The following is a 12,737-nucleotide window of genomic DNA, read 5'->3' on the forward strand; positions in this document are numbered from 1 at the left end:
ATCCTCATGAATGGGATTAGTGTCGTTATAAAAGGAGGTGGAAGGAAACTGTCTTGCCCCTTTCACCATGTGAAGGTGCAGCAAGAAAGTGCCATCTTTGAAGCAGAGAGTAAGGCTTCTTCAGACACTGAATCCGCTGGCACGTTGACCTTGGACTCTATGGCCTCCAGAACTGTGAGCAATACATTTCTATTGTTTATAATACCCAGACTAAGGTATTTTGTTGCAGCAGCCAAAGAGACTAAGAGAGCTAGCCACAGCAGATGATATAGTTTGGCTCTATGTCCGCACCCATATCTCACCTTGAATTGTAGTTCCCATAATCCCATGTGTCATGGGAGGGATCCATTGGGAGGTAATCGAATCATGGAGGCAGTTACCTTCATGCTGTTCTTGTGACAGTGAGTGATTTCTCACGAGATCTGATGGTTTTATAAGGAGCTTTTCCCTGTTTTGCTTGGCACTTCTCCTTGCTGCTGCCACGTGAAGAAGGATTTGCTTCCCCTTCCTCCATGACTGTAAGTTTCCTGAGGCCTCCCCAGCCATGCTGAACTGTGAGTCAATTAAACCTCTTTCCTGGCCGGACGCGGTGGCTCACCGCCTGTAATCCCAGCACTTTGGGAGGCCGAGGCGGGCAGATCATGAGGTTAGGAGATCGAGACAATCCTGGCCAACATGGTGAAACCCCGTCTCTACTAAAAAATATATATAAAAAATTAGCCAGGCGTGGTGGCTTGCACCCGTAGTCCTGGCAACTTGGGAGGCTGAGGCAGGGGAATGGCTTGAACCTGGGAGGTGGAGGTGGCAGTGAGCCAAGATTGCGCCACTGCACTCCAGCTTGGCGACAGAGCAAGACTCCATCTAAAATAAAATGAAATTTTTTTAAAAACCTCTTTCCTTTATAAATTACTCAGTCACAGGTATGTCTTTATTAGCAGTGTGAGAACAGACTAATACAGCAGGAATGGCAATATGTGTAGGGAAATTCCTTTTACTGGGTGCCTACTGCATGCTGTGGGGCTGAGTATGATTGCTTAAAGGTGCTAAACTGGATGGCTGTAATCATAATTATTTTGGCCTCTTTTCATTTCACCTTAAATCATAAGCATTTTTCATGTTGTTCTATAGCTTTCATAAATACCTGTTTTTCCAGAGGTTAAATTTCATTTTATTCCTTTTAACACTTTGTTTTGTTTTCGTTAGCCTTTTACTCCTAAAACTTTTGTAAAATTATTTTTAACTTATAGCAATGCAAGAATATAAAATTTTAAAATTTATTATTGTTATTGTTATTTTTGAGACAGAGTCTCGCTCTGTCACCCAGGCTGGAGTGCAGTGGCACCATCTTGGCTCACTGCAACCTCCATCTCCCAGATTCATGTGACTCTCGTGCTTCAGCCTCCCGAGTAGCTGGGATTACAGGTATGCACCACCAGGCCTGGCTAATTTTTGTATTTTTAATAGAAACGGGGTTTCACTATGTTGGCCAGGCTAGTCTCGAACTCCTGGCTTCAAGTGATCCGTCTGTCTTGCCTCCCAAAGTGCTGGGATTATAGACATGAGCCACCGTGCCCGGCCTAAAAAAATTATTTTTATCAAAATGACTTTTATGTGTGTAAACGTTTAGTTGCCTGATGTTTTTAAACTTTTAAAATTAAACTTTTTCTGATTATAAAAGTATTAAAGGTCTTTTACAGAAAATCTAGAAAACATAGGAAAACATAAAGAAAAAATAATGATAACAATAATCTGTAACTCCATTATTTTAAGCTCACCAATTTAAATAACTTTTTGGCATATTTCCTTCCAGTCTTTTTTAAATGCCTTTTAACATGGTTGAGATCATATTTTGTCTATAATTTTTTACTTAATATTTTGCTGCATTTTCCCATATCTTAAGAATGTTTTATAAATACAGTTTTAGCATCTGCAAAATACTGCATTAAGAGAAGGTGCCAGAGTTTGCTTAACCAGTCCCTTATTGTTGGGCATTTAAGTTACTTCTAATTTTCTTCTATTATAAATAATGCTTTTTGCATAAATGCATAAAGCACTATAAGGTTATTTCCTCAGAGAAAATTCTCAGATGTGGGATTTCTATATCAAGTAGTGTGAAAATTTAAAAGGTTCCTGATATGCACTGCCAAATTGCTTTTTAAGAGGTTTGTACTAAATTCCACTTACCCTATTATGTGGGAGAGAAAACCAACTAAATGTCCTTAAGCTTTAAAAACGATAAGTTTCTCAGAATCTCTGGGCAAGGGCTATAGCATCCACACATGTATTTTCCTTTGAAAACTAAATATTGCCTGGTAGCATAAAGTCTCAGATTTTGTGGGGAGGGGTTCACACACTTTACTTCCCTTGACATCCCCAAGAACCCAAGAAACATACCTTTTAGTCAGCTAAGTACCTCCACCTTGCAAGCCAACAATATTTTAAAGAGAAATTTTCTTAAGGTTATACAACATCAACAAACTGTCTTGCTGGGTGTCTCTAAAGTTCCCCAGAGAATAAGATCACTCACAGCTTTGGAGGGAGGACTTCTAAGGGATCCCTGAAGGGATCGCCAGTTCTAGCAGATTTAGAGCTGCAGCTCAAAATTTTTCTTGTTTGTAGAGTCTTTGGTCTAGTTCCAGAGATCCCAGCCTTAGATCTCTCCCAACATTCCTCTGGGGCCCTCCAGACATCCACAATCTCAAGAGAAATTGCAAGCTTCTCACCACCTCTCTCGCCCATACATGCTCCGGCTCCCCCCACTTCATTCGCTCTCTCTCCTCTTCTTGTTCTCCCTAGCCTCTCTTCGTATCCTCTCCTCCCCCAACTGTCTCTCTCCTCTTGCTAAGTGTGCCCTCCTGAGTCTATCTTGTAAATTTCTTTCTAAGCTTTACTTTTAATATTCTTCCTTTCTCTCTCTCCCCTCTCTCTTGGCTGAGTGTTTGTGTAACTTTTTTCTAATCCCCCACCCCGACCCCGCCGGATTGTCTCAGACTTTTAGTCCTTTCCTCCTCTCTCAAGGGGACACAGCTGACCTTTCCTAGGAGTAGCCTCTTTTTTTGTCCCCAAACTTCTCACCCCTGGGCTCTTCTATTCTCTTCAAATGGCACACATGCCATCCCTGAATTTGCAGGAGTTTCTTTCTGCCTGTTTCACGCCAAATATAGCTTTTTTTTTTTCACACCATGTTACCAAGGAATAATCTTAGTAGACCACTGTTAATACTTCTAGACCCCACCATGACTTCCTTCTGGTATTTATCCTCATCATACACTCCACGAAAGGATCACTTATATTATGCCCATATTTTCCTCATTCTATCCAAATCAGGATACATAAGAGCAGAAGTCTAAGCCTACTTATAATTACAATAAGATAGGATATTTGAAATCTGGGCTGTCCTCGGAAATCTGGGACATAATGTTGCTATAAATGCCACCTATCCAGAATCCAGCTCTCAAGCAGTTTCATAAGCAAGCACTCTGAACATCCTCAGCATTGTCAGGAAGTTTGTATATTACACTCAGACTAAAAAAGGATTTCCTCTCATTTTGTCCATTCTGGGAATCAGAATTTTGACTGCACATCAGGTGGGGTCTGGCCATCCAGGTTGCTATCTAGAAATCACCACATAGGGGGATTCTTCACAAAAAGTTTTTGTGAGCTTTTTATGAAAAATCTTTCACTGAGGCCAGGCGCAGTGGCTCACACCTGTAATCCCAGCACTTTGGGAGGCCAAGGGGCGCAGATCATCTGAGGTCAAGAGTTCAAGACCAGCCTGGACAACATGGTGAAACCCCATCTCTACTAAAAATAGAAAAATTACACGGGTGTGGTGGCAGGCACCTGTAATCCCAGCTACTTGGGAGGCTGAGGCAGGAGAATCGCTTGAACCCAGGAGGCAGAGGTTGCAGTGAGCTGAGATCGCGCCATGGCACTCCAGCCTGGGTGACAGAGTGAGACTACATCTCAAAAAAAAAAAAAAGAAAATCTTTCACTGAGAAAGGTTGAACCCAAGTCTGAAATGAAAGCATACAGTTTACTACCCATTGATTGATTTATGCAGAAATCTGTATAAAGATCTCCAAAGGTGGCTTAGTAGGTTCTGTTTTAAACTTTCAGTTCCTCCTCCCTAGAAAGTTAGGGAAACCTCTTAACCAATACGAGTTCCTCTGATCTGAGCTGAACTTTCCTTCTTCCACTATCCAAATTCTGCTGATTCTTTTCTGTCCAGGATATTCATCTAAGTCACCATGGTTGTATATGCTCAAGGTTCACTTTAAGTACAGTCTTAATCTTGTTTCTGAGGAAGTTTGCTTTCTCCAGTAGGTCTGCAAAACTTCCGCTTCTTATTTCCTATTGCCCCTGAAATGACATTTCTCCTTGTGAATTAATATGGGCCTGCCTACCTCTAGGTAATCCTGTTTTTGTCATGTATCTGTATTGCATTTTCTGTCCACTTTTGTCCTCTCTTACAGTGAAGGGAGCATTTTAAACTTTTTTGTTTCCATAGAACAGTAACTTGCTGGTTGGAAGACCCGAGTTTAACATGGACCCTCGGAGAAACATGACCCCCGGAGAAACATGGAGAGCCTGAGACATCCTGTGTAATTCAATAAATATCCACCCACTCCCACCCCCACCTTTGCTGGCTACAGCAGCTGGGGAAGTCAGAGGGAAGGAGGTTTTTTATGTTTTGTTTTGTTTTGTTTTGTTTTGGAGACGGAGTTTTACTCTTGTCGCCCAGGCTGGAGTGCAATGGCATGATCTCAGCTCACTGCAACCTCAGCCTCCTGGGTTCAAGCAATTCTCCTGTTTCAGCCTCCTGAGTATCTGGGATTACAGGCACACACCAAATCGCCTGGCTAATTTTTTGCATTTTTAATAGAAACAGAGTTCCACCATGTTAGCCAGGCTGGTCTCGAACTCCTGACCTCAGGTGATCTGCCCGCCTCGGCCTCCCAAAGTGCTGGGATTACAGGCGTGAGCCACCGCGCCTGGCCGGAAGGAGTTATTTTTGAGCATTTTATGCTGCTCAGTCTTGTGCAGACCGCACATACTGTAGAGTTCATGCACTTTTCTCCCAGTAGTGACTTTCAGCTCTTGCTTTACATGTAGTTCCAACAAGCTTGGATATTTAGTTTCCATGTCTATAGCAGATCAAAATTAACAATTAATGGGTGGGGGTTGGGAGGCCAGAATAAGATAGTTAAAAGCACAGATTCTGGAGTCAAACTGAGTCTTTGAATCCTGTGCTGCTGCTTCCTAACTGTATGACTTTGAAGTATTTAACCTTTTAGCTTCAATTTCCTCATCTGTAAAATGGGAATAATAATAATAGCTATTTTGCACAGTTGGTCATAAAGATTAAATAAGTTAATATATATGAGGTGCCTGCATTTGTAAGTACTCTGTGAGTATAGAGAGGGCGCATTGGTAACAGTACTGATGAGATGTAGCAAAGAAGCAAACCAACCAAAAAAAGCGGAGAAAACAGAGCAATCTAGGATCCAACTGTGTAAGACAGAGGTTCCCAAACTTTCTCAGCTCAAAGGCACCTTTAGTGTCTCAGTAATTTTTTCATGGTGACTTCTCCATGCCCACTCCTCCTACAAAAAAACCAAAGTAATAATTCTCTTTATTAAGTAGTTAAGTCCAAACAACTTAATCAGTATTTACATCCTAATAATTTACTAACCATTTGAAATAATAATTACATAAGTTTTTATTCATTTCTTTCTTTTTTTTTTTTTTTTGAGATGGAGTCTTGCCCTGTCACCCAGACTGGGGTGCAGTGGCACCATCTCAGCTCACTGCAACCTCCGCCTCCGGGTTCAAGTGATTCTCTTGCCTCAGCCTCCTGAGTAGCTGGGATTACAGGCGTGTGCCACCACACCCAGCTAATTTTTGCATTTTTAGTAGAGATGGGGTTTTGTCATTTGGCCAGGCCGGTGTCGAACTCCTGACCTCAGGTGATCCACCCGCCTCGGCCTCCCAAAGTGCTGGGATTACAGCCACCATGCCCAGCATTTTTTTTTTTTTTTTTTTGAGATGGAGTCTTGCCCTGTCACCCAGGCTGTAGCGCAGTGGTGTAGTCTCGGCTCACTGCAACCTCCGCCTTTTTGTAGAGATGGAGTTTGCCATGTTGGCCAGGCTGGTCTCAAACTCCTGACCTCAAGTGATCTACCCACCTCGACCTCCCAAAGTGAGGCACTACACACTACAGGGTCTGAAAGCAGGGAACATAAGTCCGATTCATTCTGACTTCCTAGAACTAAGTCAAAGGGAAAACTCCAACTTACCACACCCAAGTAACAAAAGGACCAGAGGCTACTCCCTTTGCATCCCCCACTTTTCTGCCTGGCAGATGAAAAACTGAAAGTACCTGTGATTTGTCCTCTTCTGCAACCAATCAGGCTGGTCTCAGGCCAAGTTTTCATTTGCATAGGAGTATAAGTTTGTAACTTCACTTCAGCCTCTGATTGGTCACCTTCTGCAACCAATCAGATGTTTGCATGGGTTTAACTTTGTAACTTCACTTCCATCTCTGATTGGTTGCAGAAAGCAACCAATCAGATTGGTTTAACTTTGTAACGTCACTTCAGCCTCTGATTGGTTGCCTTCTGCAACCAATCAGATTAATCACAGGCCACTTCTTCATTTACATAGGGTGTACCTCAAGTAACCAATGGGAAGCCTCTAGAGGGTATTTAAATCCCAGAAAATTGGGTAACCAGTTTCCTGAACCCATATGCTTGGCCTGCTCCCACACTATGGAGTGTACTTTCGTTTTCAGTAAATCTCTGCTTTTCTTGCTTCATTCTTTCCTTGCTTTATTTGTGTGTTTTGTCCAATTTTTTCAAGAAGCCAAGAATCTGGGCACCTTCCACTGGTAACAGAATTGCTGGGATTACAGGCATGAGCCACTGTGCCCAGCCAGTTTTTATTCTTAAATATTCATAATTATGTGCTAAGGGATGTATGTGCCTGTTTAGCAATTCCCTTCTCAAACTTTGGGATCTCATCGTATGCTGCTACAGTCATTTATTGTTCCACAGTGATTTTCACTTGGTACTTGCTTTTTATTACAGCAACCTCTGAAAACTCAGCTTCAAAAAGACATGACATCATCCAGAGACATGTTTAAACCTTGAACTCAAGCTTGTGTGGTATCAGACATATATTGAATCTCCCTCTCCCCTCTCCCCTCTCCCTTCTCCCCTCTCCCTTCTCCCTCTCTCTTTAACATGGAGTCTCGCTGTCTCACCCAGGCTGGAGTGCAGTGGCGCGATTACAGCTCACTACAACCTCTACCTTCTAGGTTCAAACCATTCTCATGCCTTGGCCTCCCAAGTAGCTGGAGTTACAGGTGTGCGCCAACATGCCCAACTGATTTTTGTAGAGACGGGATTTTGCCTTGTTGTCTAGGCTGGTCTGGAACTCCTAGCCTCAAGTGATGCACCCTCCTGGGTCTCCCAAAGTGCTGGGATTACAGGCATGAGGCACTGCGCCCAGCTTGTATTTCTCCTAAAATGTCAAAATATCCTCTAGAGCCCTCAGTTAGCTAGGGCACCCCAGGGCTCCTCAAAAGACAATTTGGGAAACACACGTATAAAAGGGAAATCCCCTAACAAACCCTCAGGATATTAACACAGAACATCACAGAATCACAAATAGTGGTCATGATACTAACTTTCTCACCTGCATTAACCAGCCCCAGTTCCAGGCTGTCTTGGGGGAAGTAAAATGATAGGAGAAAATGGCCCTATTTGATGCTAAAATATTTGCAGAGAGCAGGCCTAAAAAGGACACCCCACAGGAGAAAAGTTCACGGGAAGAAAAGCAGAAGCCCTAGGCTGAACAGAAAGGAGAAAAAGGCGGCTGACCCTGCTCCTGAGGAGATGGATGAATGTGAGCAGGCACTGGCTGCTGAGCATCGGATAGCCAAGACCCCTTTGCTCACTTGCCCGAGTACCTTTGTGATGGATGAATTTAAGCACAAGTACTCCTATAAGGACACAATGTGGTGCTGCCGTATTTTCGGGAGCACTCTGATAAGGATGGTTGGTCTGAGTATTGCTTTCCTGAGAAGCTCACCCAGACCTTCTGGAGTTGCAATCTCATCGCTGGAATGTTCCAGCAGTTGAACAAACTGAGAAAGAATGCCTTTGCCAGTGCCATCCTCTTTGGAAGCAACAATATCAGCTCCATTTCTGGAGCCTGGGTCTTCACAGGCCTTGACACTGAGTCCAGATTGGCAGGTGGTCTTCGAGTCATACACGTGGCAGAAACTGGATCCTGGCAGCAAGGAGACCCAGACACTGGTTTGTGAGTACTGTTCCTGGAAAAGGGCCTTCCAGCATGTGGGCTAACTTCAGTCAGGGCAAGATCTTCAAGTAAACAGCTCTTGCCATTGCCTTGCTTCCTGTACCTGTTCTTTAAGGAGATGGGGATCATTAAAAGAAACTGAATATTGAAAAAAAAAAAGTTTAATTTAAGGTCAGTTTTTTCCATTTATGACGACTGAGAAATACCAAGTGCCTACTTAACAAGATTGCCATCCAACATTATTAAAATTTAAAATAAAAATATTGGGCCGGGAGTGGTGGCTCACACCTGTAATCCCAGCACTTTGGAAGGCCAAGGAGGAAGGATTGCTTGAGGCCAGGAGTTCAACACAAGCCTAGGCAGCAAAACAAGATTCTGTCTCTACAAAAAAATATTAAAAATTAGCTGGGCATGGTGATGCATGCCTATAGTCGTAGCTACTCGGGAGGATGAGATAGGAGGCTCGCTTGAGCCCAGGAGTTTGAGGCTGCAGTGAGCTATGACTGCGCCACTGCACTCCAGCCTGGGAAATAGCGTAAGACCCTCACTCTAAAAAATAAAGGAATAAATAAAAGTATTGTACTTTTAGCTACACTAAAAACTTCACAAGGTCATTGTCAGGCCCCATCCTTTCCTCAAAGAACACAGACCTTAGAGTCACATAGATTTGGATTCAAATTTAGACCCACTGCTTTCCACGATCTTGAGCAAGTCTCTCAATCTTTCAGATCACCTTCTCATAAAAAATGTAGACCATAATTCTCACCTCTTAAGTTCTTATGGAAAGTGAAAGAACATATAAAAAGTGCCTAGCACAGACCCTGGCACATAACAGGTGCTCAAGACCCCCTTGCCATTTCCTAAACATGCCTTAGACTTGCATCCTACTAAACCTTTGCAACATGGTGCTTCCTTGGCCTGATAAACCATACTGCTTTTGTCTGCTGCCAAACTCTGTTCATTCTGCGTCACCCAACTTAAATACATTCTTCTCTCTGAAGCTTCCCTTGGCTTCTTTGGAGAGAATGAGTCACTCTGTCTTGTTCAGTTCTGCAGGATTTACCACTATCGCCTCACTTGATCACATTGTGTTGTAATTGCTTATTTATGAATCTTCTCCCTCACCAGATTTTATGGTCCTCCTCCATGGCTGAAGCCACATATTTTCACAGCACCTAGCATGGTACTTGGCCCTCAATAAATGTTTCAATGAATGGAGGAATAATAATAGCAAACAGTCAGTGCTTAATTCTAGGCATTATTCCAAGTGCTTTACAAATATTATTAACTTGTTTAATCTTCATGACAATTCTATGAATTATTATCATTTCTCTCTTACAGATGAGGAAAATGGCACATAGAAAAGTTATGTAATTTGTCTAAGGTCACTCAGCTATTAACTGTCAAAGCCAGGATTCAAACCCAAGCAGTTGGTGTGAGTCCAGACTTTTAGCCAACACACTACAATGCCTCCCAGTGAACAAAGGAATGAACAATCACAAACAAATTTGCTTTTCCCAAATGTCTTTCTTTCTCAGGTTTTGGAATGGCTCATCCATTCATTTAACAAACACTTTACATAGAGTTTTCTATGTGTATAATTATCACACTAAACACCAATCTCTGTTTTCCTCACCCCGGCCACACCCCACTTCACACAATCTTCACTGCTTGCCCCTAACCTCGACTGCTCTGTGAATTTCTTTGTTTTGTTTTGCTGGAGACAGGGTCTCACCCTGTCACTCAGGTTGGAGAGTAGTGGCATGATCATAGTTCACTGTAGCCTGGAACTCCTGGGCTCAAATGAGCCTCCTGCCTCAGCCTCCAGCCTCCAGCCTGAGTACGTAGGACTTCAGGTGCCCATCATCACACCTGGCTAATTTTTAATATGTTTTTGGAGAGATAAAATCTAGCTATGTTGCCCAGGCTGGTCTCAAACTCCTGGACTCAAGCAATCCTCCCACTTCAGCCTCCCAAAGTGTTGGGATTATAGGCATGAGCCACCGTGCCCAGTCCTCTTTCAGTTTCTGGAATGTGTTGTGCTCTCTCCCACCTCTGACCCATGACTGCCACATTGACTAACTAACTTGTACTTTTTCTTCAATTCTCAGCTTAAATTGCTTCCTTCTGAAAGACTTCCATTTGCCCCCTAAAGAAAGTTAGGTACACCTGCTCTGGGCTTCCCATGGCACTTGACACTTTCCTCATCATAACATTTTTCATACATACTCTTCTTGCCCATTTGCTTGTCAACCTTCTGCACTAGACTATAAGCTCTACAAGAGCAAGAACTGAGTCTATCCAGGTCGTCACTGAATCTGCAGCACCTAGCCTGATGTCTGGCATATAGTAGGTACCTGACACATATTTATCGAATGACAGATTGAAGCATGAGCAAGACAAAATCTCTATGCTTAAGTCTAGTGGGAGGCCAGGCACTATTCATTCCTATAATCCCAGTGCTTTGGGAGGCCCAGGCAAGAGGATCACTTGAGGCCAAAGGTTCAAGACCAGCCTGGGCAACATAGCAAGACCCCATCTCTACAAAAATAAATAAATTAGCTGGCATGGTGGTGTGTGGTTGTAGTCTTAGCTATTCAGGGGGCTGAGGTGGGAGGATCTCTTGAGCCCATGAGTAATTACAGTAAGCTATGATTGTGCCCCTGCACCCCAGTCTGGGCAATAGAGCAAGACCCTTTTTCTTAAAAAATAAAAAAATACAGAACTCTATTGGGGGAAATAAAAGCCTAGAGGGGATACAGGAAAATAAACACTTGTAGTATATTGTGATAAGTGCTATAATAGAGATCCCAGGGTCCTTCAGGGACATAGAGGGAAAGATTTCTAACTCTACTTGAGGTAAAGTGGAAGGGGGAAAGCTCACCAGAGTCTTAAAGGATAAGTGAGAGTTGAAAAGAAAGAAGTAGTATTAGCCAGGCGCAGTGGCTTATGCCTATAATCCCAACACTTTGGGAGGCCGAGGTGGACGGATCACTGAAGTCAGGAGTTCGAGACCAGCCTGGCCAACGTGGTAAAATCCCATCTCTATGAAAAATACAAAAATTAGCCGGGCGTGGTGGCACATGCCTGTAGTCCCAGCTACTCAGGAGGCTGAGGCACGAGAATTGCTTGAAGCTGGGAGGCAGAGGTTGTAGTGAGCCGAGATCACACCACTACACTCCAACCTGGACCACAGAGTGAGACTCCATCTCAAAAAAAAAAAAAAAAAGAAAAAGAAAGATGTAGTATAGAGGCAAAAAGCAAGAGCAAGAACTGTAATAGAAATTGCTTTTTAGCCTAAATGGCTAAATCATTTTTCTGTGTGTCTAAAAGTAACATTAATCTAAACTTAGTCTTACAATTGGCTTGTTTAGTAAGAATTTGGAAGCAATGTGAAATAACTTAAAAGGCAATTGATGGAATAATGTTATTTCTTAATTATCACTCCTATAAATTCCCATGAAAATCAGTTCTTTATTATCATATTTATCATGCTGCACTACCATTGTCAAAATGTGTCTATCCTACCTGATTGTGAGCTATTTAAGGCCTTGGATTAAAGAGCATTAAGATCTGATTCGATTCTATGTATTCCTCATACTGAGAACAAAGCCAGGCCCAGAGGATCTGTGAATACTCCAGCATGACCACAAAGTCCTAAATGAACTGACCTCCAACAAGCTCTGTTTCTTCTTGCGTCCCATACTCTGTGCTTCAGTCAATATTAAACACCCTTCAGTTCCCTGGACAAAATTTGGCTGCTTAAAGCCTCTAGGCCTTCACACATGCCGACTTCCATTGTCTTCCCACCCATTTCCCAGCGCTTATCTAACTAACTTCTACTCAGCTTTCAGCTTAAACATTACTTCTGAAGGAAGCTTTCTTTGACCTGAAGACACAATTAGACCTTCCTATTATATGGCCTTTAATGCCTTATATTTTTCTTTGGTGTCATTTATCATACTTGTAAATACTTACTCATTCTCTGTCCTTTAGATAGTAAGTTTCATAATTCAGCACTTGGACTAGAGCATATAAGACAGATGCTCAATAAAAATTATTTTGAATAAGTTACTGAAAAAATGAATAAAGTGCTACTATGTGTTTTTAAGTATGATTTTAGTGGCTCGGTTTTCAGCAATCTCTGTGTGGTATCGTGGTAGATTGGAATTAATTAAAATCATTAAATCAAACTAGGGCCAGGTGCAGTGGCTTATGCCTGTAATCCCAGCCCTTTGGGAGGCCAAGGTGGGCAGATCACTTGAGGTCAGGAGTTTGACACCAGCCTGGCCAACATGGTGAAACCCCATCTCTACTAAAAATACAAAAAAAAAAAAAAAAAATTAGCTGGGCATAGTGGTACACACCTGTAGTCTCAGCTGAACCTGGGAGGCGAAGGTTGCAGTGAGCCA

The 12,737-nt window shown here is 42.6% G+C and overlaps 1 pseudogene, besides 1 other annotated feature; it reads left to right on the top strand.

Annotated features, from left to right (window-relative positions):
* Nucleotides 5,873-6,373: an enhancer, noted in NCBI's record as "H3K4me1 hESC enhancer chr1:53036969-53037469 (GRCh37/hg19 assembly coordinates)". NCBI's record gives its function as "activates a minimal SCP1, AML or CMV promoter by ChIP-STARR-seq in primed H9 embryonic stem cells {active_cell/tissue: H9 hESC(primed)}" and the evidence as "EXISTENCE:reporter gene assay evidence [ECO:0000049][PMID:30033119]".
* EEF1GP7 (eukaryotic translation elongation factor 1 gamma pseudogene 7) lies at nt 7,683-8,475 on the top strand (annotated as a pseudogene).

This window comes from Homo sapiens, chromosome 1 (assembly GCF_000001405.40).
Source record: "Homo sapiens chromosome 1, GRCh38.p14 Primary Assembly".
NCBI classification, from domain to species: domain Eukaryota; kingdom Metazoa; phylum Chordata; class Mammalia; order Primates; family Hominidae; genus Homo; species Homo sapiens.